At 48.1% G+C, this 26,983-nt stretch overlaps 1 long non-coding RNA gene and 16 other non-coding genes across 17 annotated transcripts in view; all 17 read left to right on the forward strand.

Annotated features, from left to right (window-relative positions):
* SNHG14 (small nucleolar RNA host gene 14) overlaps positions 1 to 26,983 on the forward strand; it is a 595,855-nt gene that overhangs the window by 247,054 nt on the left and 321,818 nt on the right. Inside the window, exons 33-48 of the long non-coding RNA NR_146177.1 lie at positions 2,064 to 2,202; positions 3,231 to 3,390; positions 5,074 to 5,205; positions 6,196 to 6,329; positions 8,201 to 8,334; positions 10,430 to 10,563; positions 11,928 to 12,044; positions 12,735 to 12,866; positions 14,529 to 14,661; positions 15,849 to 15,953; positions 16,806 to 16,938; positions 18,953 to 19,205; positions 20,929 to 21,058; positions 23,173 to 23,313; positions 24,966 to 25,167; positions 26,660 to 26,778. This is a non-coding gene — a long non-coding RNA (small nucleolar RNA host gene 14). The remainder of the gene's footprint in view (positions 1 to 2,063; positions 2,203 to 3,230; positions 3,391 to 5,073; positions 5,206 to 6,195; positions 6,330 to 8,200; positions 8,335 to 10,429; positions 10,564 to 11,927; positions 12,045 to 12,734; positions 12,867 to 14,528; positions 14,662 to 15,848; positions 15,954 to 16,805; positions 16,939 to 18,952; positions 19,206 to 20,928; positions 21,059 to 23,172; positions 23,314 to 24,965; positions 25,168 to 26,659; positions 26,779 to 26,983) is intronic.
* Positions 2,445 to 2,541, forward strand: SNORD116-9 (small nucleolar RNA, C/D box 116-9). The gene has a single exon (NR_003324.1). It is a non-coding gene; the product is annotated as a small nucleolar RNA, C/D box 116-9 (small nucleolar RNA).
* SNORD116-10 (small nucleolar RNA, C/D box 116-10) lies at positions 3,452 to 3,555 on the forward strand. Its single transcript, NR_003325.1, has one exon. It is a non-coding gene; the product is annotated as a small nucleolar RNA, C/D box 116-10 (small nucleolar RNA).
* SNORD116-11 (small nucleolar RNA, C/D box 116-11) lies at positions 5,267 to 5,360 on the forward strand. The gene has a single exon (NR_003326.2). It is a non-coding gene; the product is annotated as a small nucleolar RNA, C/D box 116-11 (small nucleolar RNA).
* Positions 6,389 to 6,482, forward strand: SNORD116-12 (small nucleolar RNA, C/D box 116-12). Its single transcript, NR_003327.2, has one exon. It is a non-coding gene; the product is annotated as a small nucleolar RNA, C/D box 116-12 (small nucleolar RNA).
* On the forward strand, positions 8,396 to 8,489 carry SNORD116-13 (small nucleolar RNA, C/D box 116-13). The gene has a single exon (NR_003328.2). It is a non-coding gene; the product is annotated as a small nucleolar RNA, C/D box 116-13 (small nucleolar RNA).
* Positions 9,480 to 9,573, forward strand: SNORD116-14 (small nucleolar RNA, C/D box 116-14). The gene has a single exon (NR_003329.2). It is a non-coding gene; the product is annotated as a small nucleolar RNA, C/D box 116-14 (small nucleolar RNA).
* On the forward strand, positions 10,625 to 10,718 carry SNORD116-15 (small nucleolar RNA, C/D box 116-15). Its single transcript, NR_003330.2, has one exon. It is a non-coding gene; the product is annotated as a small nucleolar RNA, C/D box 116-15 (small nucleolar RNA).
* On the forward strand, positions 12,106 to 12,199 carry SNORD116-16 (small nucleolar RNA, C/D box 116-16). Its single transcript, NR_003331.2, has one exon. It is a non-coding gene; the product is annotated as a small nucleolar RNA, C/D box 116-16 (small nucleolar RNA).
* SNORD116-17 (small nucleolar RNA, C/D box 116-17) lies at positions 12,926 to 13,019 on the forward strand. The gene has a single exon (NR_003332.1). It is a non-coding gene; the product is annotated as a small nucleolar RNA, C/D box 116-17 (small nucleolar RNA).
* SNORD116-18 (small nucleolar RNA, C/D box 116-18) lies at positions 14,723 to 14,816 on the forward strand. Its single transcript, NR_003333.2, has one exon. It is a non-coding gene; the product is annotated as a small nucleolar RNA, C/D box 116-18 (small nucleolar RNA).
* SNORD116-19 (small nucleolar RNA, C/D box 116-19) lies at positions 15,865 to 15,958 on the forward strand. The gene has a single exon (NR_001290.2). It is a non-coding gene; the product is annotated as a small nucleolar RNA, C/D box 116-19 (small nucleolar RNA).
* SNORD116-20 (small nucleolar RNA, C/D box 116-20) lies at positions 17,000 to 17,093 on the forward strand. Its single transcript, NR_003334.2, has one exon. It is a non-coding gene; the product is annotated as a small nucleolar RNA, C/D box 116-20 (small nucleolar RNA).
* SNORD116-21 (small nucleolar RNA, C/D box 116-21) lies at positions 18,142 to 18,235 on the forward strand. The gene has a single exon (NR_003335.2). It is a non-coding gene; the product is annotated as a small nucleolar RNA, C/D box 116-21 (small nucleolar RNA).
* SNORD116-22 (small nucleolar RNA, C/D box 116-22) lies at positions 19,261 to 19,354 on the forward strand. Its single transcript, NR_003336.2, has one exon. It is a non-coding gene; the product is annotated as a small nucleolar RNA, C/D box 116-22 (small nucleolar RNA).
* On the forward strand, positions 21,124 to 21,217 carry SNORD116-23 (small nucleolar RNA, C/D box 116-23). Its single transcript, NR_003337.2, has one exon. It is a non-coding gene; the product is annotated as a small nucleolar RNA, C/D box 116-23 (small nucleolar RNA).
* On the forward strand, positions 23,375 to 23,468 carry SNORD116-24 (small nucleolar RNA, C/D box 116-24). Its single transcript, NR_003338.2, has one exon. It is a non-coding gene; the product is annotated as a small nucleolar RNA, C/D box 116-24 (small nucleolar RNA).

A 26,983-nucleotide genomic window follows, 5' to 3' on the forward strand; every position in this document is an offset into this window, starting at 1 on the left:
GTAGACGGGTAAGAGAGTCATGGGCAAATTGTCTGCTTTGTTATGGTGTGGCAGCCATGGAAGAGTACAGAAATTTTGCAGGCCTCAAGGAGTGTGTGGCTGGCCTCAGCTTGGTGAGCTCCCAGGAAGGGAGACCCAGATCTCGCGGCAGATGTCACTGCACACAGGACTGGGTCCGATTTTTTTGCCAAGGAGAGCATGAGGTGTGGGCCTCAGGCAGATCTTTGTCTTGATTTCTGGTTACCTGAGGACAAGGGAGTGCCAAGTTGATGGGGAAGAGCAATGGGTGTCCCAGCAGATATCCAAAGGCTCTTTGGCTCTCCTTCCAGGGTTGGTCACAGGGCCTCCCTGGCAGGGATTTCTTGGCCTCCTGAGCTGTGAGCTGCTCGTAGTGCAATGGCAGAGGCCTGGGCAGGAAAGTATTCCAGAGAAAAGGTGGTAGAGGGCTCACGTGGACATGTGTGTCATCAGTGGTCTGGGGCTGTCATTTGGCAGTGATGGGCTTCACATGGATTTCTCTGGCAGATGACAGCTCAGCCAGCAGGGGTCATTGAGGGCAGGTCACAGTGAACATGAGGGTCAGGCTGGCACCCACAGCCCTTGGTCACTTCTGGTCTTCACGGCAGAGTAGTGGGCTCCACTGTTGTGCACATCTTCCTGGAAATGGTCTCTTGGCCCGCCGTTGCCGGATGGCCCCACCTGCTGCAGCTCGTTTGAGCAAATAGTGCTCTGGATCCACTTTCCCACTTGGAAAGCAGCTTCCATCCCGAAGGCATCCAGAGGGAATGTGCCTTGGCTCTGGCTCTGCCCTGGGCCTCTCCCATGGGCTCTAGTCACACTTGGGGCTATTCATGAAGGTCTGTGTGTATTCCAGATTCCAGGCAACATATGTGCAATCCCAATGGCATTGCCACAGAGAATCTTTTGACTTGGGATGCCTCCGTGCCACTGTATGATGGCGATATTCAAGTGCTGGATTCTGCTCCATCCTGGGGTGATGAAGCGTTTCAGTTCCCTTAGCCAGTTTGAAGTCACAGTGCAGCCAGGACAGCCATGCCACATTGACGGGCTTGTGGTTGGCTTAGGAAAGTTGGAAAGGATTGGTGGTTCTACAGCTAGCAGCTCACTTAGTAGCCACATGTATCTACACCTGGTGCTGGTGTTGAGGTGGTGTTGACTTGCAGGCATTGTTGTGGGTGGGAATGCGGTCAAGCTGACTGCACGATGGGACATTGCCTCTGAGGTCAGTGCAGGGAAGCCCTGTGAGGTGACCAGTGCAAGGACAATGTTAGGTGGTGTGTCTTGTCCACTCGGCTTTTGGGGCATCAGGCGTGGACGTCCTGTTGGAGAAGCAGCCATTCTCTTCAGGCATCCTGAGGGCACGTGTGCGTACGTGGACTGAGTGGAGTGGAGGAAGCTGTTTCTTGAGGTCGTTTGGCTAGGTTGGGAAGACCACCTCTGGCTTTGACGTCATGTATCAGTGCAACATTCTGAGCATTGGGCAGGTGCCTTCCAGCACAGGTTTTGGTTGGTTTTCCGCCAGATGTGCCTTACCTGGGAGTGCAGCAAGAGACAGTGTCTGGTCCCGACATCAGAGGCCCTGTGAGGAGTAGCCTGTATTCGCGCCAGGGGTGTGGTGGCTGTTACACGAGGGACATCAGGCCTATTTCCACGTGGCCTTGAGATCAGAGTGCACATCCTACTGATTGAAGGTCTTGAACCTTTGATTTGTTGGGGGGATCAGGTCTGGAGGCTGCAGACTATAACCGCCCATTGCAGTGGGAATCTCACACACACACACACACACACACACACACACACGTGTGCACAGCCACAGGCAAATACTCGCAGCAATGGGCACATGAGGTTGTTCCAGGCACACACACTTCCTATGTGTCCACAGAGTGACAGAGGTAAGATACATTCATGGAGATGGAGATCAATCATGGAGGCCAAGGAGAAGCAGGCATGCAAGTTGCCCCACAGGTAAGAATGGGTTTGAAGTGACCAGTGGACCTGGGCCCATTTCTCAAGCATGCATTTGGTTTCTTTACACTTCTCAGGGGCAGTTGCCATGGGAGGCGCAGGCCTGCTGGAAGGAAGATGGTCGATTCTCCCAAGCAACAAAGGCCACGTAGAGTCCTGGTTTCAGTGTGGCCTGGTATCCACAGTGCACCCCGTGCTGGTGGGTGGCTCAGGACGGTAAGCATTCCTCTGCCCTTCGTGCTGAGTGAGGGTGTCTTTGGGATTCCCAAGACCCACAATGAACAGTTTTTCAGTAGGCCACTAATGGCATGCTGAGTTCCTCTCCTAGAGTGGATGGTCTGTACCTTTTGCTCAGTGGCACAGCTCTGGGTTCCCCAGGGTGCCGAACATGTTTAAGGTCATCGGCTCACCCACTGCCCAGCCTATGATGTCAAACATCCTGCGTCTTTGAATGTGCTTGGATCGATGATGAGTCCCCCATAAAAACATTCCTTGGAAAAGCTGAACAAAATGAGTGAGAACTCATACCGTCGTTCTCATCGGAACTGAGGTCCAGCACATTGCCTCCACTTTGGCTTATTGTGGTTCACGGGTAACTGTCATATTACATGGTACTTCACTACCCAGGCACTGGCATTCAATTTTTGTGGTCGTTTTGACCATAGTAAAATTCTTTATCATAAATGTATTTGAGAATCATACTTGGGTAGCCCATGAATTTTTTTAGTGTTACTCTTCTTGGTGTCAAGTTGGTTTCACCCTTAATGCTAGGTTTTGGATTTTTGTTGCATGATTGATTTTTAGCCAGGTTCTGGTCACCAATCACAGCCTTTCACCAACATTCATGGAGAAAGTTTCCTTGTTTTTTTTATATGTTGAGGAAGTACATATTTCCTGAATGTTTTTGCTTTTGTTCCAATGTTGGGCTGACTGGCATGTCATCTCTTATCTTATCTTGAACTGAGTAGTGGTACAAGTTTTTGGCTTTCAGCATCCAGGGCACCAAGTCTTTTGTACACAAATTGCAAGTATTGAAGCCATGGTGTTGATTGGGATGCTCTACGCCCATACTCTTTAGTGGCATGACGCCCTCCCAGGGTACCCGGAATCCACATGTGCAACTCTGTATATGTGTTTCTGTGAACACAGATATGTGAAGCCATAGATAAGCAGATTTCATATGTACCACAGGAGTCTATATGACATAGCCTTCCTGACCTATGTACCTGTCTGTCTTTCTGAAGCACACTCATTTCCTCTGCACCTTCCTGGTGTCATTGGCATGGAAGGAAGGCCCTTGTCCAAGAAGGATGGTCTTCGTCTTGTGTGATCTTTGAGATGCCATGAGGCCCCTGGATACAAATGGTGTGGGCTCCTTTGGAGGCTTTTGGATTTCTCCTGAATGTAAGTGATTTCTTCTGAAAGCATTCTGATTTTCCTCACTTGCAGGGACAAAGACTATGTGTAGGTTGATGATGACTTACATATATACGTTTTTTTTTTTTTTTTGGAAAGGTGAACAAAATGAGTGAAAACTCAGTACCATCATCCTCATCTAACTGAGGTCCAGCACGCTTCTCCATCAGGGCCTAGATTTAGGGGGCCAACATCTGTTTGTTATCATGGTGTGCACCAAGGCTTAGGATGTAGTTGTCTTTCAGTGAAACTGAGTAGCTGAGTATTTTGTACTCCCCTGGCTGAGAGATACGTTTGTTGAACGACTTACCTGTGAGAAGGTGGGGTAGCATCCTGCCAGTGTGCAGGAGAAGGTAAACCTGCAGGTGCCACAGGAAGGCGGTATCCAGTTGCCCACCTCTGCATGGCTGGGTCTGTCCTTGATTCATACCTCTTGGGTTCGTCACCCCCCAGAAGAAGACAATTTATTCCACATGAGGAGACAGCACGGTGCCATTCCTGAGCACTTCTTCAACTGTCTTTCATCTGTGGCCGGGGACATGGGACTTCTTATGGTGTTTGGGTAGCATCAAGGGCTGGCCATCTTGAAGCCAGTGGTGATGCTGATTTGCTCTCTGGAAAGGAGCCTGGAGAAGCTCTCTACAGTGAACTTGTACATCTATAAGTAGAATTCCAAATTTCATGGCCCAAGAAGGGTAGTGGCTGTGGGAAGGGGAGAGGTCTGTGTGTGCCTTTACCTGGCATCATTCCATGTGGGTCGTGGAGTGATGACTGTGAGGCTCTTTAAGACATTGCAGGGTGCCCAAGGTCCATTTCGTGATATCCTCAGGATGGTTTGCTTGGGAGAGCCTGATGTCATTTGCCTCTGAACCGCTCAGACATCTTGATGCAGTTGGGGTTTATAAGAGTGTGTCATTCCCCACATCGTGGTGACTTCTACTTGGAAATGTGACCTGCGAAGGTCTCCTTGCTTATATACCTCAGCGTCTCCTGATATTAGGGTATTTTCAAATTCCTCCTAATTCTTCACAGCAGTCTTCTTTGTGAAATAGTCGTTGTGTGGTAGGACAGGGCTACCATCCACAGGCCAATGATGGATAGGTGTTGGACTCTGATGTTATGTTCACAGGCAAGTGCCTTAAGATCTTGTTTTCTTAGCTGCAGCACCTTAGAAATCTTGTAGGATTCAGAATGCCTGGTGCTCTTCTGGGTCCCTGATCTGTACCTGTGTAGTGCACATGGAGGTTGATTTGTGATGTTTCTGGATGGGAAGAGTGTGAAGGACCCAAGGGGTAAAAATGCCTCAAGGCCAAAGGAAAGTTAACCTTTGCATAGGAAGAGGTTTCCCCTCCAAACTCTCCTCACTGAAGTATCACCATAGCCTTTGTCTTCTCTGATGGCCAGGAGAAGGGTTTTTGAGTTGGAGGTGTTATAAGAGTGGTGTTGAGAGTGTTCTTCATGCTTAGTGCTCTCTAGTTGATGGTGCCTTCAAAATTCATGCCTGCCTCCTACCTTCATGTTTGGGCAAACCCATGCATGTGTGCAGAAAGAAGGGGAGCCCATGGGAGGTAGATACAGATTACTCCACAACAGGACAAATGACATGACCCTTGCCACCTATGCACCTCACTGCCTTTCTCAAGCACACTGTTTTGCTTCTGCACTTCTTAGGTGGCGTTGGTATGGAAGGAAGGCCAGTGACCGCAAGGGATGACTTTGATCTTGGGAGATTTTTGGAGATGGCAAAGTGCTTCTAAACATGTTTGGCATGGTCTCCTTCAGGCTGGTGGATACCTCAGGATGGTAAGTATTGGTTTTCCAAAGGCACCTAATGTTCCATGTTTGCAGGTATGAGGACTGTGCATGGATCAATGATGACTTCCATACGTGGGTTCCTTGGAAAGTTGAACAAAATGAGTGAAAACTTTATACTGTCATCCTCTTCAAACTGAGGTCCAGCACACTGCTTCAACAGGGGCTAGAGATGGAGGTCTACCTCTCATTCATTGACGTGGGTTGCACCAAGGGGTCTGTCCAGGCTTAGGATGGGGTTCTCTTTTGGCAAGGGGTAGCCCCAGGGGAGTGGGAGCTCCCATGCACAGGAGATTCCTGGTGTGAAGGACATCTCTTAGTGAGGCCAGGGTAGCACACACACCATCTTCAAGACTAGGTGAATGTGCAGGTGACACAAAGGACTTAGGCTCTGTGTCCCCCAGTTTGTTCTTGAGTCTTAGTTCTTGGTTCTCTCATCATCGGGAGGAAGGCAGGTCCTTCTCGTTGGGAAGAGAGGACAAGCCTACACTTTTGCCTCATTTTTGGCTCATTTTTATCCTTGTGTATGTACATAGATTTCTGGTCACCTGCATGCTTCACATCCAGGCCAGAGTGCCTCTGTTGTACCCTCTGTGTTATGAAGACATACAGTTGGCCTCCTGCCCTAAGCTGGGGCTGATAGGCAACGAGTCTCTGGCTTATCTCAAACCTGGTGTAGGTCAAAGGCTTCCTCGTTAGGGGTGCAGGTCCCCGAGGCTTTTATGATCAACTTTGCAGGTGTGCACGGGTGTTTAAAGGGATGCTCAACATCAGTTCTCTCTAGTGGGATTATGTACTCCATGGGCTCCCAGGATCCAGACGTGCATCCCTGTGTCTATGCAGTTCTGCGTCCATAAACAGGTGAAGCCAGAGATGGGCAGATTGCAGATGTACTGCAGGGGGCCAGATGGCATGGCCCTCATAACCTCTGCACATGTCTGCCTTTCTCAAACATGCCCATGTTTCATCTGTACCTCCCAGGTGGCGTTGGCATGGAAGGAAGGACTGTGTCTGTGAGGGATGATCATCCTCTCATGTGATCCTTGGAGATGCCAGGAAGCCCCTTGACACATGTGGCATGGGCTCCTTCAGAGGCTTTTGGATCCGTCGTGAATGTAAGCAAGCCCTTCCCAAAGCCCTGATTTTCCTCATTTGCAGAAACAAAGATTGTGCCTGGATCAATGATGACTTCCATATATACATTCCTTGGAAAGCTGAATAAAATGAATGAAAACTCTATACCATCATCCTCATTGAACTGAGGTCCCAGCATGCTGCTACATTGGAGGGCAAGGAGAGGGGGCCAACATCTGTTTGTTGACATGGTCTACACCTTGGCTTAGGATGTGGTCCTCTTTGGGCAAATGCAAGCGTCTGGGCTTTTTGGACTTCTGTAGCTGAGAGACAGCTTGGTTGAAGGAATTTCCTCTGAGAAGGTGGGGTAAGCACACTGCCAGCCTGCAGAACTTGAAGCTGCAGATGGCACAGGAAGCAGTAGCCAGTAGTCTCTTTGTGCATGACTGTGTGTGTCCTTGATTCATAGCTTTTTGGTTTGTCGCCTCCCCGCTTGCACAGGAATACCATTGCTTTCCTTTGGGGAGAGAGCATGTCATTCCTGGACACTTGTTCGGCTTACTTTCATTCTCAGTCGAGGATGTGGGAGTTCCCATGGTACTTGGGTAGCATCAGGGGCAGGCAGCCATGAGGTGGGTGGTGAGCTGATTTGCTTTCTGCAGAGGAGCCCAGGGAGGGTATCCACATTGAACTCGTATGTCCATAGGAGGAAACCCAAGTCCTTTGGTCCCTGCAGTGTACTGGTGGTGGGAAGGGGAGAGGGCTGTGCATGCATGTACCAAGCGACATTCCATGTGGGTCGTGGAGCAATGACTATGAGCCTCTTTTGGGAGTTGTAGGGTGCCCATGCTCCATTTCATGATGACCTTGGGGTGCTGGGATGGGAATGAGATTGCAAGTCCCTGTGTTCCTGCCACTTCGCAGACTGACTTGGTTTGAGAGATCTGTGTTCAGGAACCCCTGTGGGATGCTTGTCTGTGTTAGGCATTTGAGCAGATATTGGCCCAGGGTTTCTACCCTTCCATGGTTGTACATACTGCTGGAAGGGCTTGTTGCTCCCTCTGTATTGATGAGGGGAAGTTTTGCCCAGGAGAGCCTGATGCCATTTGCTTCTGAACTGCTCAGGCACTTCAATGCAGTTGAGGTTAAGAGTGTGTCACTTCCCATGTCGTGGTAGCATCTACTCAGAAAAGTGACCCGTCAAGGTCTCTGCACTTAAATTCTCCATTATCTTATGATGTTAGGTTATTTTCAAATTCCTCCTAATTCTTCACAACAGTCCTCTTTGTGAAACAGTCATGAAGTTGTATGAGGGCTGTCATCCACAGGCCAGTGATGGAGAGTTTTGTACTCTGTGGCCATGTTCACAGGCAAGTGGCTTAAGACGTATCGTGTTCTCAGGGACAGCACCATAGAAGCCCTGTAGGATTCAGCATGTCTGATGCTTTTCTGGTTCCCTGAGCTGCACCTGTGAGGAAGGCCAGAGGTGGAGGTTGATGTGTGATTGAATGTGTTTCTCAATGCAAAGTGTGTGGAAGGAGCTTCAAGGCCGAAGGAAAGTTGTTCTTTGTGCTGGAACACTTTTTCCCTGCAGCTCTCCCCATTGAAATATCCTCATGGCTGTTGTCTTCTCTGATGGCCAAGAGAATGGCTTTTGAGTCAGGGGTGGTGAAAGTGTGGTATTGAGAGAATTCTTCGCGCTTAGTGTTCTCTAGTTTGATGGTGCCCTTGAAATGCATGCCTGCCTTATACCTTCATGCCTGGGTATATCTGTGCATAAGTCCCCAAAGAGAGGTCACCCATGGGAGGTAGATATAGAATACAGCATGGCAGGAGGAATGGCATGGCCCTTGCAAACTGTGTACCTGCCTGCCTTTCTCAAGCACACCTGTTTTTCCTCTGCACTTCCCAGGTGGCATGGGCATGCAAAGAAAGACAGAGGCTGCAAGGGATAAACTTCATCTTGGGAGATCCCTGGAGATGGCAGGGAACCCATGGACACATGTGGCATGGGCTCCTTTGGGTGCCGGTGGATCCCTTCATACGGTATGTGTTCATTTCTCAAAAGACCCTAATGTTCTTCCTTTACAGGAATGAATACTGTGCATGGACCAATGATGACTTCCATACATGCATTCCTTGGAAAGCTGAACAAAATGAGTGGGAACTCTGTACTATCATCTTAGTTGAACTGAGGTCCACCGGGGGCTATAGAGGGACAACTGTCATTTTTTTTGATGCCCGTTGCATGAAGCATTCTTCCAGGCTTAGGAAGGGATTCCGTTTGGGTGAAGGAGAGTCACAGGGGAGTTGAGGCTATGTGCACAGGACTTCTGTCTACAAGGCTGGGGTAGCACACATGCAGTCCGTGGGACTAGGTGAATGTGCAGGTTGCTCAGGGAGAGTTAACCTGTAGCCTGCCTCTGGGTGGCCAAGATTGTCCTTGACTCCTGGCTCTGGGTTCCCACAACCCCTGGAGGAAGACAAGTAATTGTGCTTGGGAAGAGAGAACAAGGCCATACTTTTGCCTTTCTTTTTTTCATTCTTAGTTTGAGAACAGTGGAGTTCCAATCACCTGGCATAGCTTTCATGTTGTGTTCCATGCATTGTGAGTACATGCATATGGCAGGAACACACAGGTTCCCACTGCAAGCTGAGCCTGATAGGCAAGGAGTCTCTAGCTTAACCCCAGCCCAGTGTACGTCAATGGCTTCCTCATTAAAATTGCATGGCCCTGTAGCTTTTGTGAGTGACATTATAGGTATCGATGTAAGGGTGTTGAGAGGGATGCTCAATGTCAGTGCTCTTTAGTGTGCTGATGCACTACTACAAGGGCACCTGAGCCCTTGTCCATGCATTTCTGTGTCCAAAATCAGGTAAAGCCAGAGTTGGGTATCAACCAGATACACTGCAGGGGATCAGAGGACATGGCCTTTGTGTACTGCACATCTGTCAGATTTTCTCAAGCACACCCGTGTTTCCTCTTCACCTCCCACGTGGAAGTGATGAATTGGCCAGGACCATGTTGGTGAGGGACAATCATCATCTCATGTTAACCTCAGAGAAGCCAGGAAGCTCCTGGACACACATGGTGTAGGCTTCCTTGGAGGCTGTTGGATCTCTCCTGAATGTAAGCAATTCCTTCCCAGTGCACCCTGATTTTCCTCATTTGCAGAAACAAAGATTGTGTGTGGATCGATGATGACTTCCATATATACATTCCTTGGAAAGCTGAACAAAATGAGTGAAAACTCTATACCGTCATTCTCGTCGAACTGAGGTCCAGCACATTACTCCAACAGGGGCTAGACAGAGAGGGCCAACATTGATTCGTTGACATGGGTGGCACCAAGGGGACCATCCAGGCTTAGGATGGGGTTTCTTTGGGTGAATGGTAGACACAGGGGAGTAGGATCTCCCATGCACAGGACATACCTTGTTTGAAGGACTTCTGTGTCCTAGGGCTGGATAACTCATGTGCTGTCTGGAGGACTAGGTGAATGGCAGATTGCATGGGAAGAGTTAACTGGTAGCCTGCCTCTGATGGCCAAGTTTGTCCTTGAGTCCAAGCTCTGGGTACCGAAGTCCCCCAGAGGAAGACAGATCCTTCTGGTTGCGGGGAGAGCAAAAGGCTACACCTTTGCCATTAGTTGGCTCATTTTATCCTTAGCTGAGGATGTTGGAGTTGTGTTTACCCGGCATAGCCTCTGTGCCTATGTGCCCATGTTGTGTACTGTGCATTGTGAGGATGTATATTTGGCATGAACAGGCAGGCTTCCTCTCCAAACTGGGGCTGATAGACAGCGAGGCTCTGGGTTATCCCAAACCAGATACAGGTCAATGGCTTCCTCTTTAGGGGTGCAGGGCCTTGATTATTTTGTGACTGGCATTGCAGGTGTTGAAACAAGGGTATTGAGAAGGATGCTCAACATCAGTGCTCTTTAGCGGGATGATGCATTCTGAGGGCTGCCATCCCCAAGATGAGCATACTTGTGTCCATAAATTTCTGGGTTCACGAACAAGGGAAGCCAGAGACAGGCATATTCCAGATAAACCACAGGGGGAAGATAGCATGGTCCTCGTGACCTGTGCACCCGTCTGCCTTTCTGAAGCATGCTTCTTTATCCTCTGCACTTCGCAGGTAGTGTTGGTGTAAAAGGCAAACCCGTGTCATGAGGGATGGTCATCATCTTGTGTGATCCTTGGAGATGGCAGGAAGCCCTGGACATACATGGTGTGGGGGCTCCTCCAGAGGCTGTTGGGATCCTCCTGGATGTAAGTGATTCCATTTCAAAGCACCCTGAGTTTCCTCATTTGCAGGGATGGAGATTGTGTGTGGATCGATGATGACTTCCATATATACATTCCTTGGAAAGCTGAACAAAATGAGTGAAAACTCTATACCGTCATCCTCGTCAAACTGAGGTCCAGCACACTGCTCCATCAGGGGCTCGAGAGAGAGGAACAACATCCATTTGTTGACACAGACTGCACCAAGGCTTGGGGTGGGGTCTTTTTCTGGCAGAGGAGAGTAGCTGGGAATTTTGGACGTTTGTAACTAAGAGACAGCTTGGTTGAAGGCAGCCAGGTGTGTCGTCAATTTGTACCTTGGGTCCCTTGTCCTCCAGAGGAAGACTATTGCTTCCACATGGGGAGACAGCACAAGGTCATTCCCAGACACCTCTTTCACTCACTTTCATCCTTGTCAAGGGACGTAGGACTTCCCATGGTGTTTGGATAGCATCAGGGGCAGGCAGGCAGTCTTCAGGAGGATGGCGATGCTGATTTGCTTTCTGCAGAGGAGCCCAGAGAGGGTATCCACACTGAACTTGTATGTCCATAGGAGGAAACCCAAACCGCATGGTCCCAGAAGGGTCCTGGTGGTTAGAAGGGGAGAAAGCTGCACATGCATTTACCACACAGTCTTCTGTCTGGGTTGTGGAGAGATGACTGTGAGCCTCTTTTGGGTGTTATAGGGTGCATACGGTTTATTTTATGATGATCTTGGGATGCTGGGATGGGAATGTAATTGCGAATCCATGTGTTCCCGCAACTCCACAGACTTGACTTGGTTTGGCAGGTTTGTGTTCAGGCCCTCTGTGGAATGCTTGTCTTCATTAAGAATTTGAGATGGGGCTGGGCACGGTGGCTCACACCTTCTGGGTGCTTGAGCTGCACCTGTGAGAAAGACCCCGAGGTGGAGGCTGAATTGTGATTGAGCATGTTTCTTGAATGTGAAGTGTGTTGATGGATGCTTGCAGTAAAAATGCTTCAAGGCTAAAGGAAAATTGCCCTATGCACAGGAAGAGTTTTTTTTTTCCCAAAACTCTCCCCATTCAAATATCTCTATGGTCTCTGTCTTCTCTGATGGCCAAGGGAAGGGCTTTTGAGTCGGGGCACCAAATGAGTGGTGTCCAGAGTTCTTCACATTTAGTGCTCTGAAGCTTGCTGGTGCCCTCAAAATGTATGTGTGCCTCAAACCTTCATGCATGGGTACTCCCATGCACACATCCTGAAATGGGTATCCCATGGGAAGTAGCGATAGGGTATCCCACAGGGGGTTGAATGGCATGGCCCTTGTGACCTATGTGTTTGCCTGCCTTTCTCAAGCACACCCGTGTTGCCTCTGTACTTCCTAGGTGGTGTGGGCATGGAAGGAAGGCCAGTGGAGACAATGGATGATCTTGTTCTTAGCAGATCACTGGATGTGGCAGGGAGTCCTAGGACATGTGTGGTGTGGGCTTCTTCAGGTGCTGGTAAGTATCTATTCCCCAAAACCCCCTAATGTTACTCCTTTGTGGGCATGAAGACTGTGCATGGATCGATGATGACTTTCATACATGCATTCCTTGGAAAGCTGAACAAAATGAGTGAAAACTCTATACCGTCATCCTCGTCGAACTGAGGTCCAGCACATTGCTCTTACAGGGGCTGGAGTGAGGGCCAAGTTTCATTTGTTGCTGCAGGTTGCACCAAGGGGTTTGTTCAGTTGTAGGAGGGGCTCCCTTTCTGCAAGGGGTAGTCACAGGGTTGTGAGATCTCTCATAAATAGGAAATTGTTTTAGGGACTTCTCTCTGCAAGGTAACACACACACACCGTCTGTAGGACTATGTGAATGTGAAGGTGACATGGGAAGACTTAGCCTGTAGCCTGCCTCTGGTGGCCATATTTGTCCTTGAGTCTTAGCTCTGGGTTCCATCATTCCCTTGAGGAAAGACAGGTGTTTGTGCTTGGGAAGAGAGCACAAAGCCCCACCTTTGCTGTTTTTTCCACTCATTTTCATCATTGTTCAAGGACATTGCAGTTCCGGTTTTATCCATAACCAGGGAAGCCAGAGACAGGCAGATAGCAGATATGCCATAGGGGGCCAGATGACACGGCCCTCATGACCTGTGAATGTGTCTGCTTTTTTGAAGCACACTCGTATTTCCGCTGCACTTCCCAGGTGGTGTTGGCATGAGGAAAGGAGGTATCTTCGAGGGACAATCTTCTTCTTGTGCGATCCTTGGAGATGCCATGAGGCCCCTGGACACATGTGGTGTGGGCTCCTTTGGAGGCTGTTGTATCCCTTCTGAATGTAAGTGTCCACTTTCCAAAGTCCTGATTTTCCTCATTTTTGGGCATGAATAATGTGCATGGATCGATGATGACTTCCATATATACATTCCTTGGAAAGCTGAACAAAATGAGTGAAAACTCTATACCGTCATCCTCGTCGAACTGAGGTCCAGCACACTGTTCATCAGGGGCTAGAGAGAGAGACAACATCCATTTGTTGACACAGGCTGCATCAATGCTTGGGATGGGATCGTCTTTGGGTGAAGTGGAGTAGCTGGGCATTTTGGACTTCTGTGGCTGAGAGACAGCTTGGTTGAAGCTCTTCCCTCTGTGTGGCTATGTGTGTTATCGATTCATACCCCTTGGCTCCTGCACTCCCCAGAGGAAGACAGTTACTGCTGCATGGGGACACAGCACAATGTTGTTCCCAGGCACTTCTTCGGCTCACTTTTATCCTAAGTCGGGGACATGGGAGTTCCTGTGGTGTATGGGTATCATCAAGGGCAGGCAGTCGTGAGGAGGGTGGCAATACTGATTTGCTTTCTGCAGAGAAGCCCAGAGAGGGTATCCACGTTGAATTGTATGTCCATAGGAGGGGGAAACCCAAGTCCCGTGGCCCCTGAAGCATCCTGGCAGTGGAAGGGGAGAGGGCCGTGCATGCGTGTACCACACAGCCTTCTGTCTGGGTCACAGAGCGACGACTGTGAGCCTCTTTCGGGCATTGTAGGGTGCCCATAGTCCATTTCATGATGACCTCAGGGTGCTGGGATGGGAATGTAATTGTAGGTCCACGTGCTCCTGCATCTCTGCAGACTGACTTGGTTTGGAAGGTCTGTGTTGAGGAACCTCTGTGGGATACTTTTCCTTGGTGCATTTGAGGTGTCTGATAATGAGTGTGTGGGTTTCTGTATCCTGGTGACTTCTACTCAGAAATGTGACCCAGCAAGGTCTCTGTGCTTAAATACCTTAGTGGCTTGTGATGTTAGGTTATTTTCAAATTCCTCCTAATTGTGTGTGACAATTCACACAAGTCTTTGTGAAATTGTCCTTGAATTGTATGACAGGGCTAGTGTCTGTAGGCCAGTGATGGATAAGTTTTGGACTCCACAGCCATGTTCACAGCCAAGTGGCTTAAGATGTATGGTGTTCTTAGTCATAGTGCCTTGGAAGCCCTGTAGGATTCAGCATGTCTTGTGCTCTTCTGGGTCCCCGAGCTGTACCTTTGAGGAAAACCCAGAGGTGGAGGTTGATTTGTGATTGAGCATGTTTCTCAGTGGGAAGAGTGTCAAAGGAGCCTGGGGTGAAAGTACTTCAGGACCAAAGGAAAATTGCCCTTCACTCAAGAAGAGGCTTTCCTTGAACCTGTCCCCACTGAAATATCCTCATGGGCTTCATCTTCTCTGATGGCCAAAAGCAGGACTTTTGATTCAGAGGTGGCAAATGAATGGTGTTGAGAGAGTTTGTTATGCTTGGTGCTCTGTAGCTGGAAGGAGCCCTCAAAATTATTGTGTGCATGATAGCTTCATGCCTGCTTACACCCATGCACATGTCCCAGTAAGAGGGGCTGCCTGTGGGAGATACATACACGATACACCACAGTGGGATGAATTGTATGGCCCTTGCAATGTGTGTACCTGCCTGCTGTTGTCAAACACACCTGTTTTTCCTCTGAACTTTCCAGGTGGCGTGGGCATAGAAGGAAGGCCAGTGGCCACGAGGGACAATCTTGGTCTTGGGAGATCCTGGAAATGATAGGGAGTCCCTTGATATGTGTGGCATGGGCTCCTTCAGGTGCTAGTGGATTCCTTAGGATGGTAAGTGTCCATTTCTCAGAAGCTCCAGATATTCCTCCTCTGCAGGGACAAAGACTGTGCCTGGATCGATGATGACTTCCTTATATACATTCCTTGGAAAGCTGAACAAAATGAGTGAAAACTCTATACCGTCATCCTCGTCGAACTGAGGTCCAGCACATTGCTCTTACAGGGGCTAGAGAGAGAGGGACAAATTTCATTTGATGATGCCCATTGCACCAAGGGGTTCTGTCCAGGCTTAGGATGGGGTCTCGTTTGGGCAAAGGAGAATGGCAGGGGAGTGGAGGCTATGTACACAGGAGATTCCTTGTTTGAAGGACTCTATTTGTGAGGCCAGGGTACCACACATGCTGTCCGCAGGAGTAGGTGAATGTGCAGTTGCCCAGGAAGAGTTAGCCTGTAGCCTGCCTCTGCATGGCAGTTTGTCCTTGGGTCCTGGCTCTGGATTTCCATGTTCCTTGGAGGAGGATAGGTGATTTTGCTTGAGAAGACAGCACAGTACCATACTTTTGTTGTTTTTCTGCTCATTTCATCGTCCATTGAGGACAATGAAGTTGTGGTCAGCAGGCATAGCTTTCAGGCCAGCGTGCCCATGTTGTGTCCCATGCATTGTGAGCACATGCATGTGGCATGAACACATAGGCTGCCACTCCAAGCTGAGTCTGATAGGCAATGAGACTCTGGCTTATCCTGATCCCGGTGTAGATCAAAGTCTTCCCAGTAGGATTGCATGGCCCCGAGGCTATTGTGAGCTGCATTGCAGGTGTGGAAGCAAGGGTGTTGAGAGGGATGCTCAACATTAGTGCTCTTTAGCGAGATGATGCACTATAAGGGCACCCTGAACCCAGACGTGCATCCCTATGTACGTGCATTTCTGTGTCCATAAATAGTTGAAGCCAGACAGCCAGATTCCAGATGTATCGCAGGGGGCTGGATGACATGGCCCTTGTCACCTGTGTACCTGTCTGCCTTTCTGAAGCACGCTTGTGTTTCCTCTACACCTCCCAGGTAGCATTGGCATGGAAGGCAGGCCCATGTTGGTGAGGGACAATTGTTATCTTGTGTGAGCCGCAGGGATACCAGGAAACCCCTGGACACAAATGGCAAAGGCTTCTTTGGAAGTTGTTGGATCCCTTCTGCATGTAAGCAGTTCTTTCCCAGAGCGCTCTGATTTTCCTCATTTGCAGGGACAAACACTGTGCGTGGATCGATGATGACTTCCATATATACATTCCTTGGAAAGCTGAACAAAATGAGTGAAAACTCTATACCGTCATCCTCGTCGAACTGAGGTCCAGCACATTACTCCATCAGGGGCTAGACAGAGAGGGCCAACATTCGTTTGTTGATATGGGTTGCATCAAGGGGTCCATCCAGGCTTAGGATGGGGTCCCTTTGGGCAATTGGAAGTCACAGGGAAGTGGGAGCTCCCATGCACAGGAAATTCCTTATTTGAAGGACTTCTTTCTCCCTGGGCGGGATAACTCACCTACTGTCTGAAGGACTAGGTGAATGGCAGGTGGCATGGAAAGAGTTTGTGGGTAGTCTGCCTCTGGTGGCCAAGTTTGTTCTTGAGTCCAAGCTCTGGATTCCCAGAGGAAGACAGATCCCCTGGTTGCGGGGAGAGCACAAGCCTACACTATTCTCACTTGTTAGCTTGTTTTGTCCTTGGCGGAGGACGTTGTATTTCCAGGCACCCAGCATAGCCTCTTTGCCGCATTTCCATGTCATATCCCATATGTTATGAGGATTTGTGTATTGCATGATCAGGCAGGCTTCTGCTCCAAGCTGGGGCTGTCAGGCAAGGAGTCTCTGGGTTATTCCAAACCTGATTTAGGTCAGTGGCTTCCTCTTTCAGGATTCATGGCCCCAAGGCTTTTGTGAGCACCATTGCAGGTGTTGAAGCAACGATGTTGAGAGGGATGCCCAACATCAGTGCTCTTTAGCAGGATGGTGCACCTCGAGGGCCCCTGGCCCTGGGACGAGCATCTGCGTGTCCATGCATTTCTGTGTCCATGAACAGGCGAGGCCATAGACAGGCAAATAGCAGATGTGTCACAGGGGACTGGATAACATGGCCCTCGTGACGTGTGCAACCTGTCTGCCTTTCTGAAGCACGCCTGTGTTTCCTCTGCACTTCACAGGTGGTGTTGGCATGAAAGGCAGGCTTGTATCATGAGGAATGATTGTCATCTTGTCTGATTCTTGGAGATGGCAGGAAGCCCCTGGAAACACATGGTGTGGACTCTTTCACAGGCTGTTGAAACCCTCCTGAATGTAAGTGATTTCATTCCAAAGCACCCTGAGTTTCCTCATTTGCAGGGATGAAACCTGTGTGTGGATCGATGATGACTTCCATATATACATTCCTTGGAAAGCTGAACAAAATGAGTGAAAACTCTATACTGTCATCCTCGTCGAACTGAGGTCCAGCACATTACTCCAACAGGGGCTAGACAGAGAAGGCCAACATCCGTTTGTTGACATGGGTTATATCAAGGCGTCTGTTCAGGCTTAGAATGTGGTCTCTTATGGGTGATGGGGGTCACAGGAGAGTGGTGGCTCCCATGTATAGGAAATTTCTTGTTTGAAGGACTGTCAGTGAGGGTGGGTAACACATGCATTGTCTGCAGGACTAGGTGAATGTCCATGTGGCCTAGCAAGAGTTAGCTGGTAGCCCGCCTCTGGTTGCCAATTTGTTCTTGAGTCCTTGTTCTGGGTTCTCAGGTCCCACGGAGGAAAACAGATCTGTGTGGTTGAGAGGTGGGTACAAGGCCGCATCTTTGTCATTTGTTGGCTAACTTTGTCCTTGGTTGAGGACATTAGAGTTTTGGTCACCAGGCATAGCCTATGTGCCTTTGTGCCCGTGTTGTATCCCACGTGTTTTGAGGACATGTATTTTGCACGTAAAGGTGAGCTCCTGCTCCAAGCTGGTTCTGATACCAAAGGAGTCCCTGGCTTATCCTAAACTCATGGTAGGTTAAAGCCTTCCTCCTTAGGGGTTCAGGGCCGCAAGGCTTTTGTGAGTGGCATTGCAGGCGTTGAAGCAGTGATGTTGAGAGGGATGGTCAATGTCAGTGCTCTTTAGCAGGATGGTGTACTGCAGGGGCCCCCAGCCCCGAGACGAGCATCCCTGCATCCATGCATTTCTGCCTCCATGAACAGGGGAGGCCAGAGACAGGCAGATAGTAGATAAATTGCAGGGGACTGGATGACATGGCCCTCGTGACCTGTGCACCTGTCTGTCTTTCTGAAGCACGCCTGTGTTAACTCTGCACCTCCCAGGTAGCACTGGCATGGAGGGCAGGCACATGTTGGTGAGGGACAATTGTTACCTTGTGTGAGCTGCGGAGATACCAGGAAGCCCCTGGACACAAATGGCAAAGGCTCCTTCGGAAGTTGTTGGATCCCTTCTGAATGTAAGCACTTCTTTCCCAGAGCACTCTGAGTTTCCTCATTTGCAGGGACAAATACTGTGCGTGGATCGATGATGACTTCCACATATACATTCCTTGGAAAGCTGAACAAAATGAGTGAAAACTCTATACCGTCATCCTCGTCGAACTGAGGTCCAGCACATTACTCCAACAGGGGCTAGACAGAGAGGGCCAACATCTGTTTTTTGACATGGGTTATACCAAGGCATCCGTTCAGGCTTAGGATGGGGTCTTTTATGGGTGATGGGGGTCACAGGAGAGTGGTGGCTCCCATGTATAGGAAATTTCTTGTTTGAAGGACTGTCAGTGAGGGTGGGTAACACATGCATTGTCTGCAGGACTAGGTGAATGTCCATGTGGCCTAGCAAGAGTTAGCTGGTAGCCCGCCTCTGGTTGCCAATTTGTTCTTGAGTCCTTGTTCTGAGTTCCTGGAAGGAAACAGATTTGTCTGGTTGGGAGGAGAATACAAGGCCACATCTTTGTCGTTTGTTGGCTAACTTTGTCCTTGGTTGAGGACATTAGAGTTTTGGTCACCAGGCATAGCCTATGTGCCTGTGTGCCCGTGTTGTATCCCATGTGTTTGGGGGACATGTACATTGCATGAACTAGTGAGCTCCTGCTCATTGCTTCTGATACCCAAGGAGTCCCTGGCTTATCCTAAACCCAATATAGGTTAAAGCCTTTCTCATTAGGGGCCCAGGGTCCCAAGGCTTTTGTGAGTATCATTGTAGGTATTGAAGCAACGATGTTGAGAAGGATGCTGAACATGCTCTTTAGTGGGATGACGTACTCTGAAGGCTCCTGACCCCCAGATGAGCATCCTTGTGTCCGTTAACTTCTGTGTTTATGAACAGGTGAGGCCAGAGACAGGCAGACAGCAGATGTATTGCAGGGAGCTGGATGACATGGCCCTTGGAACCTGTGCACATGCCTGCCTTTCTGATGCACGTCCATGTTTTCTCTGCACCTCCCCGGTGGTGTTGGTATAAAAAGCAGGCTTACATCAGCAAGGGATGATTGTCGTCTCATGCGATCCTGGGAGATGGCAGAAGTCCCGGGACACATGGAGTGTGGGCTCTTTCGGAGGCTGTTGGATCCCTCCTGAATGTAAGTGATTCCTTCTTAAAGCATGCTGATTTTCCTCATTTGCAGGGGCAAGGACTGGATCGATGATGACTTCCATATGTACATTCCTTGGAAAGCTGAACAAAATGAGTGAAAACTCTATACCGTCATCCTCGTCGAACTGAGGTCCAGCATACTGCTCATCAGGGGCTAGAGAGAGGGACAACATCCGTTTGTTGACAAGGGCTGTGTCAACACTTGGGATGGGGTCGTCTTTGGGTGAAGTGGAGTAGCTGGGCATTTTGGACTTCTGTGGCTGAGAGACAGCTTAGTTGAAGCACTTCCCTCTGCGCAGCTATGTGTGTCCTTGATTCAAACTCCTTGGCTCCTGCACTCCCCAGAGGAAGACAGTGGCTTCTGCATGGGGACACCACACAATGTTGTTCCTGTGCACTTCTTTGGTTCACTTTCACCCTCATTTGGGGACGTGGCAGTTCCCATGGTGTTTAGGTAGCATTGAGGGCAGGCAGTCCTCAGGAGGATGTTGATGCTGATTTGCTTTCTGCAGAGGAGCCAGAGAGGGTATCCATGTTGAACTTGTATATCCATAGGAGGAAACCAGTCCCATGGCCCCTGAAGGGTCCTGGCAGTGGGAAGGGGAGAGGTCTGCATGTGCATGTACTGGACAGCATATTCCATGTGGGTCATGGAGTGATGACTGTGGGCCTCTTTCGGGCATTGTAGCAGGCCCCCATTTCATTTCATGATGACCTCGGGGTGCTGGGACAGGAATGTGATTGCGGGTCCACGTGCTTCTGCAACTCCTCAGACTGACTTGGTTTGGAAGGTCTGTGTTCAGGACCCTCTGTGAGATGCTTGTCTCCATTAGGCATTTGAGCTTATATCGGCCCAGGGTTTCTACCTATCGTAGGTTGTGCATACTTTGCCTCTGAACCACTCAGGCACCTCGATGCAGTCAACGTGCCCGATTATAAGAGTGTGACTTCCCATATCCTGGTGATCTCTACTCGGAAACATGGTCCAGGAAGGTCTCTGTGCTTAAATACCTTAGTAGCTCGTGATGTTAGGTTATTTTCTAATTCCTCCTAATTCTTCCCAGGAGTCTTCTTTGTGAAATAGTCATCTTGTTGTAGGACAGGGCTGGTATCCACAGGCAGTGATGCATAGGTTTTGCACTGCGCGGCCATGTTCAAAGGCAAGTGCCTTAAAATGTATGGTGTTCTCAGCCACAGTGCCTTAGAAGCCATGTGGGATTCAGTGTGTCTGGTGGTCCTCTGAGCTGCACCTGTGAGGAAGACGCTGAGGTAGAGGTTAAGTTGTTATTGAACGTTTTTCTCAATCTGAAAAGTGTTCAAGCAGCCCAGGGTGAAAAGTCTTCAAGACTGAAGGAAAATTGCCTTTTGTACTGGAAGAGTTTTTCCCCAAAACTCTCCTCATTTAAATAGCCCTGTGGCTTGTGTCTTCTCTGATGACCAAGAGGAGGGCTTTTGAGTCAGTGATGGCAAATGAGTGGTTTTGAGAGAGTTCTTACACTTAGGGCTCTGTAGCTTGATGGTGCCTTCAAAATTAACACGTGCCTGCTATCTTCATTCCTGGGTAGACCCATACACCCATCCCAAAAGGGGAGTAGCCTGTGGGAAGCACATATGGGATATACCACAGTGAGTCGAGTGGAATGGCCCTTTTGACATGTGTACCTGCCTCCCGTTCTTAAGCACACCCGTTTTTCCTCTGCACTTCCCAGGTGTTGTGGCCATGGAAGTAAGGCCAGTGGCTACGAGGGACAGTCTTCATCTTGGGAGATCCCTAGAGAGGGCAGGGAGCCCCTTGACATGTGGAATGTGATCTCTGTTGGGTGCTGGTGGATCCCACAGGTTGGTAAATGTCCATTTTCCAAAAGCCCCTGATGTTCCTTCTTTGCAGGGATAAAGACTGTGCATGGATCGATGATGACCTCAATACATGCATTCCTTGGAAAGCTGAACAAAATGAGTGAAAACTCTATACCGTCGTCCTCGTCAAACTGAGGTCCAGCACGTGGCTCCAACTGGAGCTGGAGAGAGAGAGACAACTTCCATTGGTTGATGTGGGTTGCACTAAGCCATCCATCCAGGCTTAGGATGGGGTCCACTTTGGATCAAAGGGAGTCACAGGGCAGTAGGTGCTCCTGTGCAGAGGAGATTCCTTGTGTGAAGGACTTCTCTTTGTGAGGCTGGGTAGCACGCACAATGTCTGCAGGACTGGGTGAATGTGCAGGTGGCACAGAAGAGTTAGCCGGTAACCCGCCTCTGTGTGGCCAGGTTTGTCCTTGAGTGCTGGCTCTGGGTTCCCTTGTTCCCCAGAGGTAGATAGCTCCTTGTGGTTGGGAAGAGAGCCCAAGGCCACATCTTTGTTGTTCTTTGGCTCATTTTTTTTCATGGCTGAGGACTTTTTAGTGCCCATGGTGTTTTCGTAGCAGCAGTGGAAGTCAGTTGTGAGGAGGTTGGTGATGCTTATTTTCTTTCTGGAGAGTACCCTGTAGATCGGCTCCATTTATGATTTGTGTGTCTCCAGGGAGAAACTGAAATCCCATGGCTGGTGATGGATACTCCAGGTGGGAATGAGAAAGCGCCATACATGTGTTGACTTGGTACCCTAAGATGGGGATGGTCCGCCACATTTGCGCGTCTGTTTTGCATGGTGTGTACTGCACATCACAAATGCCATGTTGGCCTTAGGGTGCTGGGAATGGAATATGATCTGATGTCTACATGGGAGGGCCTTTCAGCAGATTGCTTTTGTTTCCTGACAGTCTTTGCTCCATCCCCAGTCACACGTGTTTTTCTCCAGGGAACATTTTATTGGAGTATATCAGGTCGATATCAGAAAAAAAAATGTTGTGGTTATCCCAACATTAAGTGTGGTGATGTAACAGCAGTGTGGATGGTAGCTCAAGTGAACAGTGGCAAAACCAAAATATATTGGTTTACGTAAGTGACCCTATTCTCTCCTATGTTTGAAGTCTGGTATGCATCTCTTTCTGCAATAATCTCAGTGATCTGGAAACTTTCAGGAGGTCTTTTTTAGATATTTTATGTCCTTGTGGTTGTACTCATACTCCCTGCAGTGCTAAGTCTGAGTCATTCTGCTATCCTAGTGCTACTGGAATTTCTATTGTTTTGGGGGCACTGTCTGGTCATTGTGGATACCTCTCTTGGGGCCCTTTAATAAGAAGTATGTTAGAGGTCGGTTTTGGGGCAGTGTTGACCTCCTGCCTAAGGTCAAAGGCAGTTTTCTTCCTAAATCTTATTGCAGGATTCACTGCCTGGGGGTTGTGTGACAGGGAGAGCACAAAATTAGGGTATCCCATGTGGACTTGTGTCCAGTATCAAGGCAGTGTTGGATAATTTTCTATATCCACAAGGCTCCCACTGGACTCTTTATGTCCAGCAGACATTCACAGGCCAACTTTTCTCTTACACAGGGGGCCTCATTCCTGCCATGTGTAGCTTCCATGGAACCATCCTTCAGGTTTTAAGTGCAAGGATTTCTCTCAAGAGTTTAATTTGTTTCTTTAAGACACCGTTTTCTTTTCTATAAATTCTGCTTTCTGTGGTTTGTAGCACAGATGAAATTGCCAGGTCATATTCTACATTTCTGCCCAATCTTGGATTAGTGAGCCTTTGAAATATGTTCCTTGATCACTGGCAATGGTTCTTGGAATACCAGAACTTAGTTACAAGCATTGCAGACCTACAGAGGTTTGTTGTTATTTTTAACTGCATGAAGCAGTGGGTTTGTTTGTATCTTGTCACTCACGGCTGTCAGCAAAACTTAGGTGTTGCTAAACCAGACCACACCCATGAATTATAGTGCCTCTGGTTCCTTCTGTAGTAGCCTGTGGGAAGTAGATACAGGATGCACCACAAGGGAATGAATGGCATGGCCCTTGAGACCTGTGTACCTGCTTGCCTTTCTCAAGCACACCTGTTTTGCCTCTAATTCCTAGGTGGTCTGGCATGGAAGAAGGCCAGAGGCTGCGATGGATCATCTTTGTCTTGGGAGATTCCTGGAGATGGTGGGGAGCCCCTGGGCACGTGCAGCATATGTGGCGTGGGCTTCTTCAGGTGCTGGTGGATCCCTCAGGATGGTAAATGTCCATTTTCCAAAATCTTCTGATATTCCATCTTTGTAGGTACAAAGACTGTGCATGGATCGATGATGACTTTTATACATGCATTCCTTGGAAAGCTGAACAAAATGAGTGAAAACTCTATACCGTCATCTTCGTTGAACTGAGGTCCAGCACATTGCTCCAACAGTGGGTAGATAGAGAGGGAAAACTTCCATTTGTTGACGCAGGTTCCATTGAGGGGTTTGTCCAGGCTTAGGATGGGGTCCCCTTTGGGCAAAGGGAGTCACAGGGGAGTGCGGCCTCCTGTGCACAGGAGATTCCTTGTGTGAAGGATTTACCTCTGTGAGAGCAGGGTAGCACACATAACTATGCAGGAGCAGGTGAATGTGCAGGTGGCACAGGAAGAGTTAGATGGCAGCCTGTCTCTGCACAGCGAGGTTTGACTTGTCCTAGCTCTGCATTCCCTCATCCCTTAGAGGAAGTTGGTTTCTTCAGAAGACTTAAATTTGTGGAATTCAGTAGAATATTATCCACATAATGTTCCCAGTGAATGCTAGGCATATCACCCAAGATGGCCAGGCCTCTGGCCATAAACCATAGTAAATAGTAGGGTGTGCATATATCCATTAGGGAGAACCTGAAAGGTCCTTTTTTGGCCCTCCAAGGTGAATGCCTGCAAAAGCAAGCGAAGCACGCTATCTGCCTGCATGAGCCCCATGTACCTGGCGTGGCCTGTGCTCCTCACCGTGTGTCCCACTTCTGCTGCCCCTTCGCCTTGCCAGGTGGAGTCTGACTGATTTTTTGCCACTGCTGCCACCACAGGCCACCTGGAGCCCCAGCCAGTTTGAGGAAAGTGGCTCTGCTTGATTTTCCTTTTTTCTTTTTTTTTCCTCTTTTTTTCTCCATTTCTGACTTCAGCAGGTGGGACTTGGAGCTTCTGCTTCTGCAGCCACAGAAGACTCCCCAGTTTGGAGGGCTGTGGTTGTGGGCTCCCTAAGCATCTCTCTGCAGAGCCTCTTTGTTTTCCATTTTACCCACCATGTCAATAATTTAACACAGTGGCGGAGGAGTTCATGTCTCTTCCTATTTGTCATTACTCTTCTAACTTTCACAGCTGTACTCGGCTACTGGTCAGAATAAGAGAAAAAGCAGTGGAACCAGGAGGATCCTACAAGAAATATTCCATTTCACTTTTGTTTGTGCATATACCTTTTCTGTTTAAATGTGGACTTCGATTTGATATGCTTCCAGTGCAGACACAGATCCCATATGTAAGAGAGTATGGAGTTGCATAGAAAGAAGACTTGTCATTTTCCTGTACTGTTGGTGTTCTAATCTGTCTTCGTGGTTTTTGCCTCTTCTGGCTTTAGAAGATACACCAACATGGTTTTGCAACATAGCCTCTTCTTATTTTAGTAAGGGACCAAATGTGCATGTCAGTAACAGGTGTTACCTTGAATTGGGATCAGTGCTTGTGTGACTATATTCAGTGATGTCATTTTCTGTCACACTCAAGTCACAAAATATTTAACCACTTATTTTTTTATCTCTGGAGGAATAATCCAAAAGATTGTACTGGTAAAGCCAGAACAATTTCCAATTATGCTAATTATTTGTATAATACTTAGTTGGCTTTATCTGTGGTTTGTTGGCTTATTTTCCTGTAGCTTTTCAAGGTTTTTCTATGAGTTCTGTTAAAGAGTCTGAAAATGGAGCGTAGAAGACATGCTTCGATTTCCAGGATGGTTGTGTTTTCCAGAGAGGCGGAGGTAAACCACTGGCGCAGCCCTGCCTCCCACAGATAATTCCGGGTGCAGTGTTTCATATCTAGACTTGGACTTCTATCCTACCATACTTCTTTGTGTGCAGGTATTTTTGGGGATAAAATCCTTGTTTTCAGCTGTATAGATGTCTTGCACATACTCTTTTGATGGTTTGATTTATCCATTGTGTTCAGCACGTTTCAGTGAGCAAGATATGGGATTTAATTTCCAATATAAAATCCATGACTGCTGGCCGGGCGCAGTGGCTTATGCCTGTAATCCCAGCACTTTGGGAGGCCATGGTGGGCAGATCACGAGGTCAGGAGTTCAAGATCATCCTGGCCAACATGGCAAAACCCCATCTCTACTAAAAATACAAAAATTACCCATGCGTGGTGTTGTGTGCCTATAGTCCCAGTTACTCAGGAGGCTGAGGCAAGAGAATCCCCTGATCCTGGGAGGTGGAGGTTGCAGTGAGCTAAGATCATGTCACTGTATTCCAGCCTGGGCGATAGAGACTCTGGCTCAAAAAAAAAAAAAAAAAGAATGTTATAATTATTTTCAGCCTCATGTCTCCGTGTCACACACAGGTCCATGAAGCTGTGTTCTTTTTTTTTTTTTTTTTTTTTTTTTCAGAGTATTTTCTTTCTTGTCCAGATTAGCTAAATTGGATTGTTCTATGCTAAATTCACTTAATCACTACTCTATTATTTTTGAATTTTTTAGTTCTGTTTTTTTCACTTGGTTCTTTTTTTAAAAAAACTTCTACTACCTTTCTGAGACTTCTACTTTTTTACTTTTTTCAAGAAGCTTTATAATTACTTGCTAAAGCATTTTTACCATGACTGTTTTTAACTTCTTCAGATAACCACAACATTTGGTTAATCTTGAGGTTGGCTTGGTTAACTGTCTTTTCTCATCCTGCTTATGATTTTCCTTCTAATTGTGATTTTTCCGGTTCTTGATAGATGGGTGATGTTTTAGTTTATCCTGCATTTTTTTTTCCTTTTTAAGTTAGAGGAATCTGAATCTATTCAAATGTTTTATTTTAGCAGGCATGTGCCCTGTTTAGGTTTAATTTGAATGTCCTGTCCTACTTTTGTAGGCCATGTTTTCGCAGGCAGTCTTGCTATCAGAGCTGAGGGGATGCTGTTTTGATCACTTAGTTTATCTGATGTTGCTGGGCCTCCAACTGGTGCTGACTGGTACTTCCTGAGATGGCGAAGGTTTTTCTGTACTCTGAGATGCCGTGTATCTCTATGTAAGGGGAGGAGACTCTGGACCACAGGAATGAAGAGAACATCTTAGGTCAGGCAGCTCAATCATATGCGATAACCTGGGTCAACCAGCCAGTAGCCTCATGAAGTATGGGAGGGAATTCTCCAGTGTCAGCATTCAAAGACATCATGAGTTTTTACTTCTCATTTTCTTTTAAGTGAAATAATCGCATGGAAATTAAAGAATAAATATATGAAATATATGAAACTTATATGAAATATAAGAATGTGAGAAGGCCTACAGCGTGGGGATCCCCAGGCTATTTGAACAATGAATGTCTGTGTTACACATCTTTGCTCACTTTTTCTCTATTTTTGTAGTTCATTGTGGAACCAGCACAGATTTTCATACGAAAGTTATTTCTTTTTAACCTCAAAAAGTGACAGAATGGAGTGTATCATGAAAAAGTCTGACATCAAAACCTCAAAATGTGATATTGGTAAGCATTTTGTCCTGAGAATACCAGCATTTCCTCTTAGGGGATCATGACACTGCAGTGACCATGTGACCCTGGCTGTGCTAGTCAGCCTGGGCTGTTCATTGACTGTGATGCTGGTCTCCATGTGATTGACTAGTGTGGGTCAGTGCCTCCAAAGGTGACAGCTGTGTGCTCAGTGTCTGCCACATATCTCAGGCTCAAGGTC

Source organism: Homo sapiens, chromosome 15, assembly GCF_000001405.40.
Source record: "Homo sapiens chromosome 15, GRCh38.p14 Primary Assembly".
NCBI lineage: Eukaryota > Metazoa > Chordata > Mammalia > Primates > Hominidae > Homo > Homo sapiens.